The following is a 24848-nucleotide window of genomic DNA, read 5'->3' on the forward strand; positions in this document are numbered from 1 at the left end:
AAGACATTTTGTACCAAAATTGATAGCACATTGTGGATAGTAGATTACAATCTCCAGTGAAGGAAGTAAGAATAAAAAGTCAATCAATCCTCAGAGGATACTACATTGTAGGATAATATCAACCACCCTATTCTGCACACACATTTTCAGCAACTTGACTTAAGGAATATGATTGATTTAGGTGCATCTACCTGTTAACAACAGGATGGCACAGCAAACTCCCCAGCTGACTGTGGAAGGAAATATTAACAACCGGACAGAGAGTAGATGAAGCATTTTGTTCAGTTACGGGAACGAAATATGACATGTCCCTGATAAAATTGTGCTCTATGTGTTTATATGTAGGTCTGAGTTTAAATGTTGTGATTGGCATTTTTCAAAAATCTCAAAAAAGGTAATAGAGAGCAAAATGTCAAAAAGGCCATAAACTGTATGATACAGTTACTTTGTTATCAATATTTCCATAGATTTTGTTTGAGCAGGAGAATTACTCGTTCTTAGTAAGAATGAACTAAATCTCATCTTGCCTTTGCTCTTTCTTTTGAATTAATTGGTTTTGGCTTGCCAGAATCACAGTGCAGATCATAAAGAATGGAAGGGCTTGGCATGTACCGTGTTTTCTCCACTGCGTTAATCAAACTGTAAATGAGATTTTTGTCAATAAAATAAAACATGCTGCCCAGAGCACACACAGAAAAGCACTAGAGAGATTCAAATGCTTAGTAACATGAGGAATGCAAACCTAACTCAAAGCTTCTTCCATAAATCAATTCAAATAAAGTACACTATGTATTCCTTGTTGGTCTATTCCCATACACCATTTAAAAAATTCTCAGGCATGCCAAAACATAAAATAAAAATACATAAATTTCAAGACCTTCACATGCTTACTGAGTTGACACTCTCCAACACTGTCCTCGGCAGCTTCCATCGTATACCTATGTAGATTATCTTTCCACTATCCTGGGCTCTCAATATTTTGGCCTCCTTTTCTGTTATGATCTTGTCCAACAACCTCCTTCAGCCTCTCCCACTCATGAGCACACCCTAGATCTTGCCATTGACAGTAACTTTGAGTCCTCCGTAATTTCGATTTCAAGTATCCCACACTCACACAACCATCTCCTCTTTTTCCAGCTCACTTCCACTAGTGCTTGTACTTTAACAATCTTTCTTCTAACATTGGAACTTAAAATACATTGATTCCCACTTACCTTCACCCTCCTCATGTCCTCATTCCTCTCTTCCCAGTTTAAATTTCATGATCAGTCATGATCACTTTCTTGCATGTATATTTGGTTCTTTTGGCCTTCTCTCATTTCCTCATAATGCTGATCAGCAAAGCTTTACCTCAATCCTGGTTAAATCCCACTCTCTGCTTACTCTGTGCTTACCTGCCACTGCTCATTGTGTCTGTAGAAAAAGATACACCTTGGCTGACTAATCCCACTTAAAATTCTTGATCGCTAGCAGAGGTGGACTTGTGGAATCAGAAACACACCATACGTCCCTCATCCAGTCCCTCTTCCTTCTTTCTTTTTCCTAGGTGACAACTGCACACCTTTTCATCTCCTCAAATCCCAAACAGCTTTTCCTTTCCTGTTCAACTAATAGCATTTCTTACTTCGCTAAGAAAATAGTGTCCTATCAACATTCTACCCCTTGCTATTGCTAAATCTGGTGGTCATTTTTCAGTTGATCTGCTTAATTGCTTTCTTCTTGAAAAACATTCTTCACTTGGCTTCCAAGACACCACATTCCTCTCATTTTCTTTTGGCCTCAACTGACCACTCCTTAGCTTCCCTGATGGGTAACTCTTCACTTCCCAGTCTCTTACCATTGGAATGACCAAGGCTCAGTACACAGACTTCTTTTCTTTTCTGCATTCATTCATTCCTTTGTGAATGTGGATGTCATCAATCTTATGCCTATAAACTCTAATTTATGCTGAACTTATGAGTTCTATATTTAGTGTAGCCTGATGTTTCTCAAAACTTCAGGCTTTATAGGCATTATATCCACTCACTTACTTGGATTTTTCCTTTGAATATATGACAAGAATGCCAATAGTAACTTCTTCAAAACCAAACACTTGATCTACACACTCCTCTCCCCTCAACCAAACAGGCATGTTCTTGCCTATTTGATTCCTATTTTAGTTAATGGCAATGCCATCTTTCTAGTTTTCCATGCCAATAGTGTTGTAGTCATCTTGGAGTGTTCTTTTGCTGACACATCCCAGATCCAATCTGTCTGCAAATACTTACAATTCTACCTTCAAAATATATCCAGAAAGTAATCCCTTACCCCTATTGCCACTGGCTCTCTCTTGGCCCACTCTGTTCTCATATCTCACCTATGTTATTGTAGTAACATTCTAATTACAACTTTGCCACCCCTACCCCCAGTCTATACTCACCAAGCAGCCAGAGAATACTTTTGAAGTCATAATGTGTTGTTCCCCCTGTCGAACCCCAGAATGCCTTCCTAATTTATTGAAGTTAAAAGCCAAAAATGTTATAATGCCTGATAAAGCCTCAATCCAACATGCTTCCCATTTGCTCCCTGACTCATCTGCCACCTCTCTTCCTCTTGCCTAGTCTACTCCAGCCACACCAGCTGCCTTGCTATTCTTGTAACAAGCAGTAATGTGCCTGCCTTGTGGTCTTCACAGCCCCTTCCTGTCCCTTCTGCCTAGAAAGGGCCCATGCTGTCACCTCTTACAGATCTTTCCTCGAAGATCATCTCTCAATGACACTCACCCTGAGAAAATTGGAAACTTCTTCCAACACTTGACTTCCTATCCTTCTCTATTTTTCTCCAAAACACTTACTACTTCTAACATATGTACATACATGCACACACAAAATAAATTTATTTATATATTTATATATTCTTAGTGCCCCCCATTGCAATGCAAATTCAAAGAGAATTGAGATTTTCTTTTTCGTGTGTTCGGTTGATTTCACTGCTCTATCCCTAGGACCTACAGTAAGAGCTGGTTTATAGCAGATGCTTAAAACTCTATTGTTGATTGAATTAATTAATTAAAAACTTTCATGTTAAAGTATGTTTGCATGTGATCTAGAAAAAAATGAGAGTTTACATATTATAGCCCTTCTAGAATAAAGGAAATTTGACAGTATTTTTTTTTTTTTGAGACAGAGTTTCACGCTTGTTGCCCAGGTTGGAGTGCAATAGCACAATCTCCACTCACTGCAACTACGCCTCCCAGGTTCAAGCAATTCTCCTGCCTCAGCCTCCTGAGTAGCTGGGATTACAGGCGTGCGCCACCACACCTGGCTAATTTTTGGGTTTTTAGTAGAGACAGGGTTTTGCCATGTTGGTCAGGCTGATCTCGAACTCCTGACCTCAGATGATCCACCCGCCTTGGCCTCCCAAAGTGCTGGGATTATGGGGTGGGCCACTGCGCCCGGCCTGACAGTATTTATCTAGGTCTATGGCACCTAAATATCAAGACCCATGTCAAAATTTTTGGGCCAGCTTGTTGTTGAAGGTAAGGAGTAACTTCTGGGGTGCCCATATCTTTATAAAGATAAAATTCTATGCTCTATTCATGTCACTTTCTTTGCTGTGTTTGATTCTTGCTTTGCAACATTTTTATAGAGAAATGTTTTGGGTCAGAAGCCTGCTAACAAATAACATCTCTTTAGTTGAACTTCTTTGCCTTCACTAAGGAAAAGTTAAATGTCCAAGTTCAGGCTATTGGCAGCTCTGGGCTTAGGATTCAGGACCCTTCACTGTTTGTTTCTAGATTCTCTGATTAAACTACTACCCCTATCAAATTTAAGGAAAAGTTAGACACATTCAGTGGGGGACTCTACAGGCAGATACAGAAAATCTATTCTTAGCGATGTGATTAGGTGATGATGGTATGTCCCTATCTGGGGGTGGGAGAATAGCATCATTCTGACACACCAACTCACAGATCAGCAGTAACAGACTAAGGCTCTTTTTCATTCACAAACTAAATGGAACTTATGAAAAATGGTGATTATATTTTTAAAAATCATTTGTCTTGCTGGGACACTTTTCTTATAATTTGCTCTTCTCTTGTTCACAGAATTTTCCTCATGAGCCTAGTTATTCTCCTTGTCTTTACTTCTGGAAGGCTCCCATTTGTGTGCATATTAACACAGCATCACCCTCTGTTCTCCAGAGCAATTGTCTCTCTTCTATTTTTTATCTTGAAAGTCCTGGTTCCTGGGGCACTATTTACTGGAGGGCTTCAAGTATCGCAGACTCACTTTCAGATATATAAATAATGTTCTCTTGAATATTTATTTTTTCCAAATGGCATTGTTCCTTATATTGCTGTACACTTATGGAAAAAATCCTGAGATACTTAGATTTATTATTTCCAGACTATAAAAATGGAGAGAACCTTTCTAATGCTCCATCAGAGCTTTGTTAGCCACTATCATTTGATTGCTAACTGACCATTATATTCTGTTTTGCCTTCAGCTCCTAGAGCTATTGAATTCTGCATTAGGCCTCCACCTTTATTCTAGAAAGGATACCTACCTTGTACTGCCGCTACTGAACTGTCTACATTTCCTTATTCTTCCTTCTCTGTTACAAGTAATTTAGGACACTCATCTTTGTATTAATCAAAATTGCTACCAAGTAGACTTTCTGGAGGACAAAGCCTGTGTCAGCTGTAGCAACAATCTACTTTCTCATGGGATGCCCACCTAGGGATGTGATACTTTGGAGCCTTCCACATTACACAACTTCGTGTATTTTATGCAGGATAGAAGAAAGTCATAATTTCAGAAATACCAATTTTAAAACTTCCATTGGGAAAATTCACCAGGATTATTTAATTCCATACCCCATCACCCTTTAGCACCCTAATGCTCAGGACTTCTTTTCTATCCTGGGTCTTATCCGCAGTGTTCTGACCAGCTGTTGGAACTTCCTGCTTGGTATTTTCATGGCCCCTGTAGCTAACAGTGATATTTTACCTGTCTGCTTTCTTCACTTTTTCCATTTAAATAAACCTCCATGAATTTTAAAATTCACTCCCTTATAAAGACCTTTTCACCTTCTAAGGTGAAAATTAGCTCATTTGTCATAAAATAACTCCTTTGTGTTAAAAGAAGAAAGCACAGGACATAGATCCATTCACCTAGGGTCCCGAAGGCCTGCTTTAGTAATGAGTACATTTTACCAGAGAGATGTTTTAGCCATAATGCCCAACTTTTGTTGTCAAAACTAAAAGTATAACTAATAGTGCAAATAATTTCTAACATGTAATAATAATTTTAACATTTAGCACTTTCTAACTGACAAGCTCTCAGTGAAACACTTTATATTCATTTTCTTTTTTAATTTTCACAATTACTCTGGAGGGGTAACCACCATTGTAAACCTCATTTTACTAACACAAACTGAGATTAGCATGATTAAGTAACTTGCCCAAGGTCACGTGGCAAGTTTGACATGACATATCTTTTAATCCTCACAATTACCCAGTTGGCTGGTGCAGAGAATTTAAATAATTTTCCATGTGTCACAAAACCAATAAGTAGCAGATTTAGCATTCAAAGTCAATTTTCTGAATTAAGAGTCTTTAGATTCTTCTAGATATCAACATCTTTATTACATCCTACTAACCTTGTAGACAGTTGTAAGGCTCTTTGAAATCTGTTGAAAAGATGAGAAAGCTGTGTCAGTTATCTCATGCCACAATAATGCCATGTCACACTCAACCACAAACTTCAGGGAAACACACAACAAATGTTTATTTGCCTCATGAGTCTGAGATGTTTATGTGATCTGGCCTGGGTTGGCCAACTTCTCTGGAGTAAGCTGTGGCTCATCTAGGCAGTTATGCTTGTTCTGGCTGTACTAGCTCATGAGTCTCAAGGTTGGCTGGCTGCTGGCAAATAGAAATAGTCTCAGCTGGAATGCCTGTAGTGACTTGGCTCTGTCCCATGTGTCTCTCTCATTATCCGGCAGGCTGGCTGAGGAACGTTCTCATGGAAATCTTAGAGGAGCAGAAAAGCCCAGTCATGCAAGTACTTTTCAACACTTGGCTTGTGTTGCATTTGCTAAAATCCTGTTGGCCAAATCAAGTCACATAACTAACTCAGAGTTAGAGTACCAGGCTCCTACAATGTTTATGGGGAAGGTCGTGGGTACATAGACGGGGAAGAATTGAGTCTTTTTTTTTTTTTTTTTTTTAAAGAAAATTACTACAAGGGTCTAACAAATTTTTAGCAGAAACAGAAAAGGAACTAGGTAAACTTTAGCGTTCACTCCTCAAGCTGTCTACACTCTAAAAAAATGCAACATTGTATTTGCTATGTCATCATTGATTTAATGTATTGCCTTATGGATCCAGGCTGCAGGGGCCAACATTTGCTAAAAATTGAACACGTGATCTTTGGTGACATATTTGTGCTCTTAATTATAACCATAAAACATGCTTCAAATTTGAATAGAATAGTGCCAAAGCAATGCTGCCTGAATTTATAATTCTCTTTCACATAGTGTGTTGGCCCAACTCATCCAGTGCCTAGTGGTTTTGTGGTTTAGAAGTTTGTTTTCTGGAATTTGATGCAGCTGTTCTCTCCGAGTGACGATCCTTGGGGAAAGGTGGGTAAACACATAAAGCTTCCGAAAGCCATCCCAGATCTCTCAAAGGCAGCCCTCAGCTTAATGTCTGGGTCAGAAGTATAACAAAGTTAGTCTTGGTAATTGTTCATGTGTTTTCAAAGAGACTCATCATCAACACTCACAACCTGGTTTCAATCCAATAGAGCTTTATGAGGCTAAATTCTAAACAGCATCAAAATACATAAGAGTAAAAAGCTCAGCCTGGAGAACTGATACTTACAACTGGTTATACATAAGGTATTTGTAAGACCAATTAACAGTGTTTTATTTCTTTGATTCACCAAAACACAAACACATTGAAAACCACTCAATATTTTTCCTTAATTCACAAACACATAACAGTAAGCAAGCACATACAGATTAAGTGCTCTGAAGTTATATGAAAGACCTGGCCCTGCTGTGCAAATCACTCTCAAAATTGTTAGTTCTAAAACACTTTCATTTCCCTGCAATCATCCTATAGATTGTATTCCTATTTGTCATACCTTTTTTTGCATTTTTCTTTCTACTTATCTCTTCTTTCCTCTACATTGCTACTACACTTAAAGATCTTCAGGATTCTATCCTGGATTCCTTTAGTTACCACTAAAAAAGCTCCCCCTTGAAAAATCTCTGTCACTCTTCTGAGTTTAAATAGTGTCTATAGTTTGGCAACTCTTAAATTTGTATCAGCGACTGAGTGACATAGCAAGAGTGAGAAAAAAGAGGAACCAGTCCCCAATGTAGGTGACAAAGAGATGCTAACTTGTAGATAATATAAAATAATAACAAAGCAAACTAAAAGTCAGTCTTCTCATTATCACCATTTGCTGAAAATTTTTAGCAATCTCAGTGATAAAACACTCTTCTCTGTGTGGGGAGGGAGATCTTGTTGGATTAAGTTCTAAGCAATTCCTATGGCTATTGTTGAGTTTCAACAATATATACATGTAAGCTTTAAATTAGTACCTTTTAATTTCATACCGCTTGTACAGGAGTCTCCAGGGACACAGAAACAATCAAATACAGATATATAAAGAGATTTGTTGCAGGAATTGGCTCATGTTCTCAAATCTCCTCAAATGAATCTATGAGTTCAAAGCAATACAATTTCAACTCTTAACAGAATTTTGTTTCCTAATAAAGTGATGCTTAAGTGCCTTTGTAATATAAGCTAAGAAAATAGCCATTACATATTTGAAAAAATACAATTATGAAAGATATGTTTCTATCAGATATCAACTTACATTATAAAGCTACTGTAATTTTAAAAACTTATTTTGTTGGCATAGAAATAATCAAATTGATCAGTGGAACATACTGAAGACTCTGGGAAGAAACTTCATAGATATGTGGAAATTTATTGTAAGGTTAAGTGAGTACTTCAAATCAGGTGTCAAAGTAATGTATATGTGACACCACTAGGGTCTTAGCTTATGTCCTCTTCTCCTGACCTCTGATTGCAGCCCTGCTCTGGTACACAGATCTGCACAGGTTTTGACCTCCTTGCTTTTAGCTCCTCATCACAAGTGTGATTTGAGTATCTCTTGCTTCCTGCCCTGGGGTTTCTCTGATAATCCCATGAGTCCACTTGACCCCGATACATGTCACGTGAAGAGGTATGGGAACTAATGGATTAACATCCCTCTCTTTTGTGTCTCAGATGAATGGTTCTGAGCCACATGTCGTAAGGCATCACAGAATGTCCCTCACTGGGTAACTAGTCAGCTGAAGTGGTGGCATGTTAGATAATGCTTGAATTGGCTTTCAGTCCTTGTTTGATGCCTGTCACTCACTCCTGCCACCTGAGAACACATTCTTAAGAAAATGTATGACCTCTGTCCCAGGTTTGCTTTTGGGAAGAACCCATGTAAGTCAGGTAGACTACGCAATAAATGATGCTGACAAATTGCCTGTGCAATTGTGAAAAGAGTAAATGTATCTCTACACATAAACAAATTCTGCAAAAGTTAAAAAGTTAACTGTAACAATAAAAACAAAGAAAATATGAAAATATTTGAAAATGCCACCAAAGCAGAGGCTCTCTCTTTCACATCAGCTTTTGTCTGTATTTTTTTCAGGTTCTCTTTGCTCTGCTTTGTCGATGTTATTACATTTGCTTATTGTCCAGACATTCATCAAAATATCATGTTTGCTAAAGGCTCACTCTCATTTCCAGTGTTGTTACACATTTATTCTCTTCTACACATCCTTCTTGTATTACAATTGGATTTGGGGTAGATAGTGGAAATAAATGCTTGTATTTAATCTATCTGAATCTATACTATTTTCAATTTTGCATTAGTTATATCTGTAGGTAACTGCAGAGAGCAGTATTAAAAACCTGATTTAGAGTCTCTGACAAGTAGAATTGTATCCAACTATGAAGATTTCTACTCAGTAATTAAGCTATTCTCTATTGTCCTCTTGAGACAAAAATGTCACCTGATGTTGCACTGTCTTTCTCCCAGCATTTTAGGGTGGGAAGCTACTAAGAAATCATTTAGTCCCTAGATGTCCAAGGTATGGTTTGTTGATCAAATTAGCCTATGCATCCTTGTTGTGGCTCCTCAGGGAATCTTTCCATTTAAGAAGATTACACAAATTACCATTCATGTGCTAGTAGGCTAGCAGTTTCTATCTACCTATATTGACCATTAAAAATTACCTGTCGGCAGGTTGAATTAAATAGTAAGTGGTAATTATTGTGTGGTTTAATTTAATTTAATGAAATGTTATAAAGAATTTATGAACAAATAAATTAGGCATGCAAAAATCTCCATATGCATTTCACTGATGTTTAATTGCATATAATATGTCCACGCTAAGCATACATTTCCAGCCTCATCATTGTATAAGTTAATATGGTCTACATTCACATAGATATTTGTTTAAGTGGCTCACCTTTAAACATTTTATATTTCTAATTATCAAAACCTTCATTTAAACTATATCAACATTGTGACCATGAGAGTGAAAGATTTTCCTTAGATTTCACTTGAAGACCTGTTCTAAAGTCCTCATTTTCTAATTCAGAAAAAAAAAATCAGAAAACTCTACTTATGGGCTTTATTTACCCAGACATAGAATTTTTAGCATGAAGTGTATGGTGTTTAATTAAATAGAAAAAGGCATGGAACAATTGAGGCTTACATTATTTTTTAAAAAGCTTTTTATTTTGAAATAATTACAGCAAAAGACGTTGCAAGGCTAGTACTGAGGGGTTCCCTGTACCCTTTACCCAGTTTCCTTTGGTGGCTACATTTTACATAACTATAGGACAATATCAAAAGTAGGAAATTGACATCATTGTGTAATCATGGTTCTATGTCTTTTATCACAAGTGCAGATTTCTGACCACTGAAATCAAGATTGAAAACTGTTCCATCGCTACAAATATCTCCATCCTGTTCCCCTTTAAACTCACTCCTTCTTCCTTACATCACCCCTTTCTCCTAATTATCCCTAAGTCCTGCAACCCCTAATCTGTCCTCTATATTTACAATTTTATCATTTTGGGAATGTTATTCAAATGAAATCATACAGGATGAGACCCTTGGAGACTGGCTTTTTTCCCCCCACTCAGCCTAATGCACTTGAAAACCATCCAAGTGGTTGCATGTATCAATAACTCTTTTTATTTTTGTTATTGTTTAGTATGGATCATTCTTTTTATCTCATGGTATAGATGGACCGCAGTTTAACCACTCACCCATTGCACAACGCTTTACTTCCATCTTTTGGCTATTGCAAATAAAGCTGCTATGAACAATCATGTACAGGTTTTTTATTTATTTTTTTATTAATTAATTAATTTTTTTAATTATACTTTAAGTTTTAGGGTACATGTGCACATTGTGCAGGTTAGTTACATATGTATACATGTGCCATACCGGTGCGCTGCACCCACCAACTCGTCATCTAGCATTAGGTATATCTCCCAATGCTATCCCTCCCCCTCCCCCCACCCCACCACAGTCCCCAGAGTGTGATATTCCCCTTCCTGTGTCCATGTGATCTCATTGTTCAGTTCCCACCTATGAGTGAGAATATGCGGTGTTTGGTTTTTTGTTCTTGCGATAGTTTACTGAGAATGATGATTTCCAATTTCATCCATGTCCCTACAAAGGACATGAACTCATCATTTTTTATGGCTGCATAGTATTCCATGGTGTATATGTGCCACATTTTCTTAATCCAGTCTATCATTGTTGGACATTTGGGTTGGTTCCAAGTCTTTGCTATTGTGAATAATGCCACAATAAACATACATGTGCATGTGTCTTTATAGCAGCATGATTTATAGTCCTTTGGGTATATACCCAGTAATGGGATGGCTGGGTCAAATGGTATTTCTAGTTCTAGATCCCTGAGGAACCGCCACACTGACTTCCACAATGGTTGAACTAGTTTACAGTCCCACCAACAGTGTAAAAGTGTTCCTATTTCTCCACATCCTCTCCAGCACCTGTTGTTTCCTGACTTTTTAATGATTGCCATTCTAACTGGTGTGAGATGGTATCTCATAGTGGTTTTGATTTGCATTTCTCTGATGGCTAGTGATGATGAGCATTTTTTCATGTGTTTTTTGGCTGCATAAATGTCTTCTTTTGAGAAGTGTCTGTTCATGTCCTTCGCCCACTTTTTGATGGGGTTGTTTGTTTTTTTCTTGTAAATTTGTTTGAGTTCATTGTAGATTCTGGATATTAGCCCTTTGTCAGATGAGTAGGTTGCGAAAATTTTCTCCCATGTTGTAGGTTGCCTGTTCACTCTGATGGTAGTTTCTTTTGCTGTGCAGAAGCTCTTTAGTTTAATTAGATCCCATTTGTCAATTTTGTCTTTTGTTGCCATTGCTTTTGGTGTTTTGGACATGAAGTCCTTGCCCATGCCTATGTCCTGAATGGTAATGCCTAGGTTTTCTTCTAAGGTTTTTATGGTTTTAGGTCTAACGTTTAAATCTTTAATCCATCTTGAATTGATTTTTGTATAAGGTGTAAGGAAGGGATCCAGTTTCAGCTTTCTACATATGGCTAGCCAGTTTTCCCAGCACCATTTATTAAATAGGGAATCCTTTCCCCATTGCTTGTTTTTCTTAGGTTTGTCAAAGATCAGATAGTTGTAGGTATGTGGCATTATTTCTGAGGGCTCTGTTCCGTTCCATTGATCTATATCTCTGTTTTGGTACCAGTACCATGCTGTTTTGGTTACTGTAGCCTTGTAGTATAGTTTGAAGTCAGGTAGTGTGATGCCTCCAGCTTTGTTCTTTTGGCTTAGGATTGACTTGGCAATGCGGGCTCGTTTTTGGTTCCATATGAACTTTAAAGTAGTTTTTTCCAATTCTGTGAAGAAAGTCATTGGTAGCTTGATGGGGATGGCATTGAATCTGTAAATTACCTTGGGCAGTATGGCCATTTTCACGATATTGATTCTTCCTACCCATGAGCATGGAATGTTCTTCCATTTGTTTGTATCCTCTTTTATTTCCTTGAGCAGTGGTTTGTAGTTCTCCTTGAAGAGGTCCTTCACATCCCTTGTAAGTTGGATTCCTAGGTATTTTATTCTCTTTGAAGCAATTGTGAATGGTAGTTCACTCATGATTTGGCTCTCTGTTTGTCTGTTGTTGGTGTATAAGAATGCTTGTGATTTTTGTACATTGATTTTGTATCCTGAGACTTTGCTGAAGTTGCTTATCAGCTTAAGGAGATTTTGGGCTGAGACAATGGGGTTTTCTAGATATACAATCATGTCGTCTGCAAACAGGGACAATTTGACTTCCTCTTTTCCTAATTGAATACCCTTTATTTCCTTCGCCTGCCTGATTGCCCTGGCCAGAACTTCCAACACTGTGTTGAATAGGAGTGGCGAGAGAGGGCATCCCTGTCTTGTGCCAGTTTTCAAAGGGAATGCTTCCAGTTTTTGACCATTCAGTATGATATTGGCTGTGGGTTTGTCATAGATAGCTCTTATTATTTTGAAATACGTCCCATCAATACCTAATTTATTGAGAGTTTTTAGCATGAAGGGTTGTTGAATTTTGTCAAAGGCTTTTTCTGCATCCATTGAGATAATCATGTGGTTTTTGTCTTTGGTTCTGTTTATATGCTGGATTACATTTATTGATTTGCGTATATTGAACCAGCCTTGCATCCCAGGGATGAAGCCCACTTGATCATGGTGGATAAGCTTTTTGATGTGCTGCTGGATTCCATTTGCCAGTATTTTATTGAGGATTTTTGCATCAATGTTCATCAAGGATATTGGTCTAAAATTCTCTTTTTTGGTTGTGTCTCTGCCCGGCTTTGGTATCAGAATGATGCTGGCCTCATAAAACGAGTTAGGGAGGATTCCCTCTTTTTCTATTGATTGGAATAGTTTCAGAAGGAATGGTCCAGTTCCTCCTGGTACCTCTGGTAAAATTCGGCTGTGAATCCATCTGGTCCTGGACTCTTTTTGGTTGGTAAACTATTGATTATTGCCACAATTTCAGCTCCTGTTATTGGTCTATTCAGAGATTCAACTTCTTCCTGGTTTAGTCTTGGGAGGGTGTATGTGTCGAGGAATTTATCCATTTCTTCTAGATTTTCTAGTTTATTTGCGTAGAGGTATTTGTAGTATTCTCTGATGGTAGTTTGTATTTCTGTGGGATCGGTGGTGATATCCCCTTTATCATTTTTTATTGTGTCTATTTGATTCTTCTCTCTTTTTTTCTTTATTAGTCTTGCTAGCAGTCTATCAATTTTGTTGATCCTTTCAAAAAACCAGCTCCTGGATTCATTGATTTTTTGAAGGGTTTTTTGTGTCTCTATTTCCTTCAGTTCTGCTCTGATTTTAGTTATTTCTTGCCTTCTGCTAGCTTTTGAATGTGTTTGCTCTTGCTTTTCTAGTTCTTTTAATTGTGATGTTAGGGTGTCAATTTTGGATCTTTCCTGCTTTCTCTTGTGGGCATTTAGTGCTATAAATTTCCCTCTACACTCTGCTTTGAATGCGTCCCAGAGATTCTGGTATGTTGTGTCTTTGTTCTCGTTGGTTTCAAAGAACATCTTTATTTCTGCCTTCATTTCGTTATGTACCCAGTAGTCATTCAGGAGCAGGTTGTTCAGTTTCCATGTAGTTGAGTGGCTTTGAGTGAGATTCTTAATCCTGAGTTCTAGTTTGATTGCACTGTGGTCTGAGAGATAGTTTGTTATAATTTCTGTTCTTTTACATTTGCTGAGGAGAGCTTTACTTCCAACTATGTGGTCAATTTTGGAATAGGTGTGGTGTGGTGCTGAAAAAAATGTATATTCTGTTGATTTGTGGTGGAGAGTTCTGTAGATGTCTATTAGGTCCGCTTGGTGCAGAGCTGAGTTCAATTCTTGAGTATCCTTGTTGACTTTCTGTCTGGTTGATCTGTCTAATGTTGACAGTGGGGTGTTAAAGTCTCCCATTATTAATGTGTGGGAGTCTAAGTCTCTTTGTAGGTCACTCAGGACTTGCTTTATGAATCTGGGTGCTCCTGTATTGGGTGCATATATATTTAGGATAGTTAGCTCTTCTTGTTGAATTGATCCCTTTACCATTATGTAATGGCCTTCTTTGTCTCTTTTGATCTTTGTTGGTTTAAAGTCTGTTTTATCAGAGACTAGGATTGCAACCCCTGCCTTTTTTTGTTTTCCATTTGCTTGGTAGATCTTCCTCCATCCTTTTATTTTGAGCCTATGTGTGTCTCTGCACGTGAGATGGGTTTCCTGAATACAGCACACTGATGGGTCTTGACTCTTTATCCAATTGCCAGTCTGTGTCTTTTAATTGGAGGATTTAGTCCTTTTACATTTAAAGTTAATATTGTTATGTGTGAATTTGATCCTGTCATGATGATGTTAGCTGGTTATTTTGCTCGTTAGTTGATGCAGTTTCTTCCTAGTCTCGATGGTCTTTACATTTTGGCATGATTTTGCAGCGGCTGGTACCGGTTTTTCCTTTCCATGTTTAGCGCTTCCTTCAGGAGCTCTTTTAGGGCAGGCCTGGTGGTGACAAAATCTCTCAGCATTTGCTTGTCTGTAAAGTATTTTATTTTTCCTTCACTTATGAAGCTTAGTTTGGCTGGATATGAAATTCTGGGTTGAAAATTCTTTTCTTTAAGAGTGTTGAATATTGGCCCCCACTCTCTTCTGGCTTGTAGGGTTTCTGCCGAGAGATCTGCTGTTAGTCTGATGGGCTTCCCTTTGAGGGTAACCCGACCTTTCTCTCTGGCTGCCCTTAACATTCTTTCCTTCATTTCAACTTTGGTGAATCTGACAATTATGTGTCTTGGAGTTGCTCTTCTCGAGGAGTATCTTTGTGGCGTTCTCTGTATTTCCTGAATCTGAACGTTGGCCTGCCTTGCTAGATTGGGGAAGTTCTCCTGGATAATATCCTGCAGAGTGTTTTCCAACTTGGTTCCATCCTCCCCATCACTTTCAGGTACACCAATCAGACGTTGATTTGGTCTTTTCACATAGTCCCATATTTCTTGGAGGCTTTGCTCATTTCTTTTTATTTTTTTTTCTCTAAACTTCCCTTCTCGCTTCATTTCATTCATTTCATCTTCCATTGCTGATACCCTTTCTTCCAGTTGATCGCATCGGCTCCTGAGGCTTCTGCATTCTTCACGTAGTTCTCGAGCCTTGGTTTTCAGCTCCATCAGCTCCTTTAAGCACTTCTCTGTATTGGTTATTCTTGTTATACATTCTTCTAAATTTTTTTCAAAGTTTTCAACTTCTTTGCCTTTGGTTTGAATGTCCTCCCGTAGCTCAATGTAATTTGATCGTCTGAAGCCTTCTTCTCTCAGCTCATCAAAGTCATTCTCCATCCAGCTTTGTTCCGTTGCTGGTGAGGAACTGCGTTCCTTTGGAGGAGGAGAGGTGCTCTGCTTTTTAGAGTTTCCAGTTTTTCTATTCTGTTTTTTCCCCATCTTTGTGGTTTTATCTACTTTTGGTCTTTGATGATGGTGATGTACAGATGGGTTTTTGGTGTGGATGTCCTTTCTCTTTGTTAGTTTTCCTTCTAACAGACAGGACCCTCAGCTGCAGGTCTGTTGGAATACCCTGCCGTGTGAGGTGTCAGTGTGCCCCTGCTGGGGGGTGCCTCCCAGTTAGGCTGCTCGGGGGTCAGGGGTCAGGGACCCACTTGAGGAGGCAGTCTGCTGGTTCTCAGATCTCCAGCTGCGTGCTGGGAGAACCACTGCTCTCTTCAAAGCTGTCAGACAGAGACATTTAAGTCTGCAGAGGTTACTGCTGTCTTTTTGTTTGTCTGTGCCCTGCCCCCAGAGGTGGAGCCTACAGAGGCAGGCAGGCCTCCTTGAGCTGTGGTGGGCTCCACCCAGTTCGAGCTTCCCGGCTGCTTTGTTTACCTAAGCAAGTCTGGGCAATGGCGGGCGCCCCTCCCCCAGCCTGGCTGCCGCCTTGCAGTTTGATCTCAGACTGCTGTGCTAGCAATCAGCGAGATTCCGTGGGCGTAGGACCCTCCGAGCCAGGTGTGAGATATAGTCTCGTGGTGCGCCATTTTTTAAGCCGGTCTGAAAAGCGCAATATTCGGGTGGGAGTGACCCGATTTTCCAGGTGCGTCCGTCACCCCTTTCTTTGACTCAGAAAGGGAACTCCCTGACCCCTTGCGCTTCCCAGGTGAGGCAATGCCTCGCCCTGCTTTGGCTCGTGCACGGTGCGCGCACCCACTGGCCTGCGCCCACTGTCTGGCACTCCCTAGTGAGATGAACCCGATACCTCAGATGGAAATGCAGAAATCACCAGTCTTCTGCGTCGCTCAGGCTGGGAGCTGTAGACCGGCGCTGTTCCTATTCGGCCATCTTGGCTCGAAAGAGATGTACAGGTTTTATGTGGATATAAGTTTTTATTTCCCTGGGATAAATGCCCAAAATGAGATTGTAGTGTTATGTGGTAAGTGTATGTTTAGTTTTAAAAAGAAACTTTCTAACTTTCCCATTTTACATTCCTGTAAACAATGTATGAGATTCAGTTTGTCAGGATCCTTGCCAGAATTCTGTACTGTCATGATTTTTATTTTAGCTTTTCTGATAGGCGTGTCGTTATATCTCATTGTGGTTTCATTTACATTTCTCTGATGGTTAGTGATGTTGAATATTTTGTCCTGTGCTTATTTGCCATCCACAGACCCTTTTCCAGGAGATCTCTCTTTATATCTTCTGCTCATTTTCTAATTGCATTATTTTTTTTACAGTTGAGTTTTATAATCATTTAATATTCTAGATATGAGTCTTTTGTCAAATACACGGTTTGTAAATGTTTTCTCACAGTTTGTGGCTTGTCATTTAATTCTTTCAGCAGAGTCTTTTGTAGAACAGAATATTTTAATTTTGATGATGTCGAATTTACCAGTGCTGATTCTTTGTGGGTCATGTTTTTGGTGTAAAGCTCAAAAACATTTTCTAGCTCCTGAAGATTTTCTCCTACACTTTTTTTCTAAAAGTTTTATAGTTTTATGTTTAATATTTAGATCTATGATCCATCAGGGTTACTTTTTTGTATAAGGTATGCGGTTTAGATTGATATTTACTTTTTTGGCTATGGATATCCAATTGCACCACTCTCATCTGTGGAAAAGAATATCCTTCTTCCACTGAAATGTTTTGCAGTTTTGTCAAAAATCAGTACTAATAACATGCTGTTTTGGTTGCTGTAGCCTTATAGTAGAATTTGAAGTTGAGTGGTGTGAGGACTTCAGCTTTATTCTTTTGCTTAAGATTGCTTTGGCTATTCAGGTTCTTGTTTGATTCCATAAGAAATTTAGAATAGTGTTTTTCTAATTCTATGAAGAATGATATTGGCAGTTTGATAGGAATAGCATTGATTCTACACATTGCTTTGAGCAGTATGGCCATTTTAACAATATCAATTCTTCCAATCTCTGAGCATGGAATATTATCCTGTTATTTGTGTCATTTTAAATTTTTTTCAGCAGTGTTTTGTAGTTCTCCTTGTACAGATCTTTCACATCCTTGGTTAGTTGTATTCCTAGGTATTTTATTTTCTTCATGGCTTTTGTAAATGTGTTCTTGATTTGACTCTATGCCTGGAAATTATTGATATATAGAAATGCTAAAGTGATATCCTGAAACATTGCTTAAAGAGTTTATCAGTTCTAATAGCTTTTTGCTGAGTCTTTAGAATTTCCTAAGTATGGAATCCTATTGTCAGCAAAGAGAGATAGTTTGACTTCTTATTTTCCTATTTGGATACCTTTTATTTTTTTCTCGTACTTGATTGCTTTGGCAAGCACTTCCAGCAATGTGTTGAACAGCAGTGTTGAGAGTGGGCATCCTTGTCTTGTTCCAATTCTCAAGGGAAATTCTTTCAGCTTTGCCTATTCAGTATGATGTTGGCTGTGGGTTGGTCATAGATGGCTCTTATTATTTTAAGATATATTCATTTGATGCCTTCCTACTCTGTTGAGGATTTTTATCATGAAGAGATGTTGAATTTTCTCAAAAGCTTTTTCTGCATCTATTGAGATGATCATATGGTTTTTGCTTTTAATTCATTTTGTGTGATGAATCACAGTTACTGATTTGCATATGTCAAACCAAACTTGTATCCCAGGAATGAAGCCTAATTTATCATGTTGAATTAACTTTTGGATGAGCTGCTGGGCTCAATTTGCTAGTACTGTTCTTTAAGAATCTTTGCATCTATATTCATCAGGGGTATTGGCCTGAAGTTTTCTGTTTGTCATGCCTCTCCCAGATTTTGGTATCAGGCTGAGACTGGCTTCATAGAATCAGTTAGGGAGGAGTCCCTTCTCCTCAATATTTTGGAATAGTTTAAGTAGGATTTGTACTAGTTCTTTATATGTATGGTATGATATGGTTTGGCTGTGTCCCCACACAAATCTCAACTTGAATTGTATCACCCAGAATTCCCATGTGTTGTGGGAGGGACTCAGTGAGAGGTAACTAAATCACGGGGGCCAGTCTTTCCCATGCTATTCTCATGATAGTGAATAAATCTCATGAGATCTAAAGGGTTTATCAGTGGTTTCTGCTTTTGCTTCTTCCTCATTTTTCTCTTTCTGCTGCCATGTAAGAAGTGTCTTTCACCTCCCGCCATAACTCTGAGGCCTCCCCAGCCAAGTGGAACTGTAAGTACAATAAACCTCTTTCTTTTGTAGATTGCCCAGTCTCAGGTATGTCTTTATCAGCAGCATGAAAAAAGACTAATACAGTAAATTGGTACTAGTAGAGTGGGGCCTTGCTGAAAAGATACCCAAAAATGTGGATGTGACTTTGGAACTGGGTAACAGGCAGAGACTGGAACAGTTTGGAGGGCTGAAAGAAAACAGGAAAATATGGGACAGTTTGGAACCTCCTAGAAACTTGTTTCACGGCTTTGACAAAAATGCTGATAGTTATATGAACAATAAGGTCCAGGCTGAGGTGGTCTCAGATGGAGATGAGGACTTTTTGGGAACTGGAGCAAAGGTGACTTGTTATGTTTTAGCAAAGAGACTAGTGTCATTTTGCCCCTGCCCTAGAGACTTATGGAACTTTGAACTTGAGAGAGATGATTTAGGGTAACTGGTGGAAGATATTTCTAGGCAGCAAAGTGTTCAAAAGGTGACTTGGGTCCTGTTAAAAGTATTCCATTTTAAAAGGGAAACAGAGCACAAAAGTTCCGAAAATTTGCAGCTCAACGATGCAGTAGAAAAGAAGAACCCATTTTCTGAGGGGATATTCAAGCTGGCTGTAGAAAACTGCATAAGTTTCAAGGAGCTTACTGTTAATCCCCAAGACCATGGGGAAAATGTCTCCAGGGCATGACAGAGACCTTCATGGCAGCCCTTCCCATCACAGACCCAGAGGCCCAGAAGGAAAAAGTGATTCTGTGGGCCAGACCCAGGGTCCCCGTGCTGTGTGTGGTCTACGGACTTGGTGCCGTGTGTCTCAGCTGCTCCAGCTGTGGCTGAAAGGGGCCAACGTAGAGCTTGGGCTGTGGCTTCAGAGGGTGGAATCCCAAGCCTTGGCAGCTTCTACATGGCGTTGAGTGTGTGGGTACACAGAAGTCAGGAATTTAGATTTGGGAACCTCTGCCTAGATTTCAGAAGATGTAAGAAAATGCCTGGATGCCCAGGCAAAAGTTTGCTGCAGGGGTGGGGCCCTCATGGATAACCTCTGCTAGGGTGTGGAAGGGAAATGTGGTGGCTCCGACCCCACACACAATCCCTACTGGCTCACTGCCTAGTGGAGCTGTGAGAAGAGGGCCACTGTCCTCCAGACCCCAGAATGGTAGATCCACCAACAGCTTGCACTGTGCACCTGGAAAAGCCACAGGCAATGCCAGCCTGTGAAAACAGCCAGGAGGGAGCCTATACCCAGCAAAGCCACAGGGGCAGAGCTGCTCAAGACCGTGGGAACCCACCCCTCCACCTCTTGCATCAGCGTCACCTGCACGTGAGACCTGAAATCAAAGGAGATCATTTTTGAGCTTTAAAAAATTTGACTGCCTCTCTGGATTTTGGACTCGCATGGGGCTTGTAACCCCTTTGTTTTGGCCAATTTCTCTTACTTGGAATGGCTGTATTTACCCAGTACCTGTACCCCCATTGTATCTAGGAAGTAACTAGCTCGGTTTTGATTTTACAGGCTCATAGGCAGAAGGGAATTGCCTTGTTTCTGATAAGACTTTGGATTGTGGACTTTTAGGTTAATGCTGAAATAAGCTAAGACTTTGGGGGACAGTTGGGAAGGCATGATTGGTTTTGAAATGTGAGGACATGAGATTTGGAGGGGCCGAAGGTGGAATGATAAGGTTTGGGTGTCCCCACCCAAATCTCAACTTGAATTTTATCTCCCAGAATTCCCACGTGTTGTGGGTGGACCTGGTGGGAGGTAATTGAATCATAGAGGCTGGTTTTTCCTGTGCTATTTTTGTGATAGTGAATACATCTCATGAGATTTAATGGGTTTATCAGCGGTTTCTGCTTTTGCTTCTTCCTCATTTTTCTCTTTCCTCCACCATGTAAGAAGTGCCTTTCACCTCCTGCCATGATTTTGAGGCCTCCCCAGCCACGTGGAACTGTAACATCAATTAAACCTTTTTTTCTTCCCAGTTTCGGGTATGTCTTTATCAGCAGCATGAACATGGACTAATACATGGTACAATTTGGCTGTGAATCCATCTGGTCCAGGGCTGTTTTGGTTGTAGGGTTTTTATTTCTGATTCAACTTCAGACCTCAATATAGGCCTATTCAGGGTTTCAGTCTCTTCTTTATTCAATCTTGGGAGGCTGTTTCCAGGAGTTCATACATGTCCTCTATATTTTCTAGTATTTTGCATAGAGTTGTTTATAGTAATCTCTGAAGATCTTTTCAATTTCTGTGAGGTCAATTGAAATGTCATCTTTCTCATTTCTGATTGTACTTATTTGAATCTTCTCTTTTTCTTTCTTTGTTAATCTAGCTATTAGTCTACCATTCTTGTTTGTTTGAGAAACCAATTCTTAATTTCACCGATGTTTTTACATGGATTTTTTTCATCTCAGTTTCATTCAGTTCCTATCTAGTTTTAGTTATTTCTTTTCTTCTGCTAGCTTTGGAATTGGTTTGTCCTTTTTTCTAGCCTTTTTTTCCTTTAGGTGCAATGTTAGATTGTTAATTTTTAATTTTTCTAACTTCTTGATGGAGGCTTTTTAGGGCTATAAACTTTTAATGCTGCTTTAGCTGCATCCCAGAGATTTTGGTAAGTTGTGTCCCTATTTTTATTAATTCCAAATTATTTTTTAATTTCTGCCTTAATTTTGATGGTCATCCTGGAGTTATTCTGGAGCAAGTTGTTTAATTTCTATTTATTTGTGCAGTTCTGAGAGATCTCCTTGACATTGATTTCTATTTTTATTGCACTTCAGTTGAAGAGAGCAGTTGGTATGATTTCAATTGGTTTGAACTTATTGAGACTTGCTTTATGAACAACCATGGGGTTGATCTTAGAATATGTTCTGTGTACGAATGAGAAGAATGTGTAGTCTGTGTTTGTTGGGTAGAATGTTCTGTAGATGTCTATTAAATCCAATTCGTCAAGTATCAAGTTCAAGTCCAGAGTTTCTTTTTCAGTTTTTTGTCTTGGTGATCTGTCTTAACACTGTCAGTGGAGTGTTGAAATCTTCCAATATTATTGTATGGTTGTCTAAGTCTTTTCCTAGGACAAAAAGAACTTGTTTTATGAATATGGCTGCTCCAATGTTAGGTGCATATATATGTAGGATAGTTAAGTCTTCTTGCTGAATTGTGCCCTTCATTGTCCTTCTTGATCTTTATTGGTTTAAAATCTAATTTAGCTTATATATGAACAGTAACTCCTGCTCTTTTTTTTTTGCATGATAGATATTTCCTTTTACTTTGAGCCTGTGGGTCTCATTACACATTAAATGAGTCTCTTGAAGATATCTGAGTCTCATCTTTTTATCTAGTTTACCATAGATATATGGCATGTATCTAGATAGTGGGGTATCTAGCTCACTTACATTCAAGGTTCATATTGATATGTGTGATTTTAATCCTGTCTTTGTGTTGTTAGCTAGTTGTTATGTAGATTGAATTGTGTAGTTGCTTTCTGTGGCTGTGAACTATGTGCTTGAATGTGTTTCTGAGGCAGTAGGTGTCATTCTTTTGATTCCAAGTTTAGTGCTGTCTTAATGACCTCCTGTAAGCCTGGTTTAGGTGAAATGAATCCACTCAGCATTTGTTTGTCTGAGATGAATTATTTCCCCCTTAGTTTTGAAGCTTAGTTTGGCAGGATATGAAATTCTTGGTTGGAATTTCTTTTCTTCAAGGATGCTGAAAATATGCCCCCAATCTCTTCTGATTTGTAAGATTTTGCTGGGGGGTCTGCTGCTAGCCTGATGGGATTCCCGCTGTACATGACTGTACCTTTCTCTTTAGCTGCCTTTAAGATGTTTTCTGTTGCATTGACTTTGGTGAATCTTATGACTACATAGCCTTGTGTATGGTCATGTTGTATAGTATCTTGCTGGAGTTCTCTGCATTTCTTAGATTTGCATGTCAAAGGCTATAGTTATAGTAGGAAATTTTTCATGAACTATATCCTCAAATATATTTTCCAAGTCGTTTATTCTCTCTTCTTCTTTCTCAGGAATGCCAATGAGTCATAGATTTGATCTTTTTACATAATACCATATTTCTCAGGGGTTTTGTTAAACTTTTAATTTTTAAAAAATAAATTTTTGTTTGAGTTGATTCAAAGAACTTGTCTTTGAGCTCTGAGATTATTTCCTCATCTTACTCCATTCTGCTTTTAATATTTCTGATTATATTATGAAATTCTCGTAGTGAATTTTTCAGCTCTAGAAACTCAGTTTGGTTCTTTCTTAGAATGGCTATTTCATCTTTAAACTCTTGGATCATATTACTGTATTCCTTAGATTCCTTGGATTGAGTTACAACTTTCTCCTGAATCTGAATGAACTTACTTGTCATCCAGATTGTGAATCGGTGTCTGTCATTTAAGTAATTTCAGACTAGTTAAGCACTATTGCTGGGGAGCTAGTGGACTCATTTGAGGATAAGAGGACACTCTGGCTTTTTGAATTGCCAGAGTTATTGTGCCGATTCTTTCTCATCGGGGAGGGTTGGCATTCCTTCAATTCCTTTAATTGTGGTGAAAGTAGAGTATAGTAAGTTGGCTTCTTTCTGGGTGCTTTCAGCAGGCCAGGGTTAGGTACAGGAGCTTTATGTGTAGGTAAATTCTTGTGCTTGATTTCACAGGTGTGTATATTAACAAGATAATGTTTGGTGTTATAGTTTGGGCTGCAATCCAGTTGACATGCTTGAGTAATGGCTCGTAGCTAGGCTAATACCCAGCTGCCTAGCTCTTTTGTACATCCTAAACTTTGCATCCATGCTCTGTGGTACCTCTCCAGCTGAGGAAGAGGGATATTATCTCGTTATTGCCACGTGACAGTGGAAGTTCAGGTTTCCTACTTGGCCTTCATAAAGACCTAAAGAGAGAAGGGAGGTCTGCTAGTTACTGCTGGGTAGGTATGGTTTTTTTAGGTTCTTCACTAAGTCTCTGCTGATATCACACTTGTTAGAAGGAGCATGGATGCCTTGTTTTTTTTCCTCTCCATGTGGCTTCCTATGATATTGCTAGAGGGTGGCCTCATTACCGCTGGACAGTGATAAAAGTCTCTCCACCAGGCCTTCTCTGACTCCACCCCTGAATGAACGGGAAGGATTGAAAGTCTGTGCTCTCTATTTTGTCTTTATGACAACATAGTGTTGGCATTTCATTACCACCCAGTGGGGATGAAAGCCCCAGCTCCTACTCTGCCTTCTCTGATACCACCTGAGAAGAGGGATTATGGAGCTTCATTATAACCTAATATGAAATGGGAGTCCAGGTTCTTCGTGTGGTCTTTGCTGGAGGGGTAGTGTGTGACTACAGTTTTTTCTGTGGTATTTAGCTGAATATACAGTTACTCTGTTATAAAGTTCTCTATTATATAAGCTAAGTTTCCTCTTTTCTGGTCCTTTGAATAGAGAGAGTCAGCTTTCCTTACAGTCTTTTTTTTTTTTTTTTTTTTTGGTCTATGCCTGTTGGTATTTCTAGGTGCCTGTTTCTCTCACACTTAGTTTCTAATATATAAGGTAAAGAAAAAAACTGAGAAAACTCACTGAAGTGTAGTTCCTGAGGTCCCCAGGTCCTTAGTGGGTCTGCCTTCTTCTTTCTTCTTTTTTCCCCTTTTTAGTCTTTTCATATTTGTTTATATGTAAATGGCTGAGGATTTTAACTGTACTTAGAAAGAAACATACATCTACATAAATTATTAAAGATCCAGAAAATAAAAGAAAAACAGTAATAATCATCCCTGTCACTTAAAATATTTTAGATGTTTTTTGTTTGCTAATAATGTTGTCCATATAATTACTTAGAGAAGGAAGAACAAGTGAGCAGAAACCAAATGGAAATAACCAAGTTTTTTGTTTAAAATTATTAACAGGCTATTATAAGCATTGACTATGGACTAAGGCAACAGGAATTCCCAACTCCTTTATTACTGGTTAGAATTATAGATGCTCACTTTAGAGGCCTCTTCTATAGCTAGGAGTACTACGGGACACTGTTTTGGCTAATATGACATGAGTATAGAGGTCATCTTTTGGGAAGGCTTTGGCTTTTCTTGAAAATTGAGGCCAAATACAGCTAGTTATAACTATT

At 38.8% G+C, this 24848-nt stretch overlaps 2 annotated features.

Annotated features, from left to right (window-relative positions):
* Window positions 15407-16102: an enhancer, noted in NCBI's record as "NANOG-H3K27ac-H3K4me1 hESC enhancer chr18:26001477-26002172 (GRCh37/hg19 assembly coordinates)". NCBI's record gives its function as "activates a minimal SCP1, AML or CMV promoter by ChIP-STARR-seq in naive H9 embryonic stem cells {active_cell/tissue: H9 hESC(naive)}" and the evidence as "EXISTENCE:reporter gene assay evidence [ECO:0000049][PMID:30033119]".
* Window positions 16103-16798: an enhancer, noted in NCBI's record as "NANOG-H3K27ac-H3K4me1 hESC enhancer chr18:26002173-26002868 (GRCh37/hg19 assembly coordinates)". NCBI's record gives its function as "activates a minimal SCP1, AML or CMV promoter by ChIP-STARR-seq in naive H9 embryonic stem cells {active_cell/tissue: H9 hESC(naive)}" and the evidence as "EXISTENCE:reporter gene assay evidence [ECO:0000049][PMID:30033119]".

This window comes from Homo sapiens, chromosome 18 (genome assembly GCF_000001405.40).
Source record: "Homo sapiens chromosome 18, GRCh38.p14 Primary Assembly".
Lineage (NCBI taxonomy): Eukaryota > Metazoa > Chordata > Mammalia > Primates > Hominidae > Homo > Homo sapiens.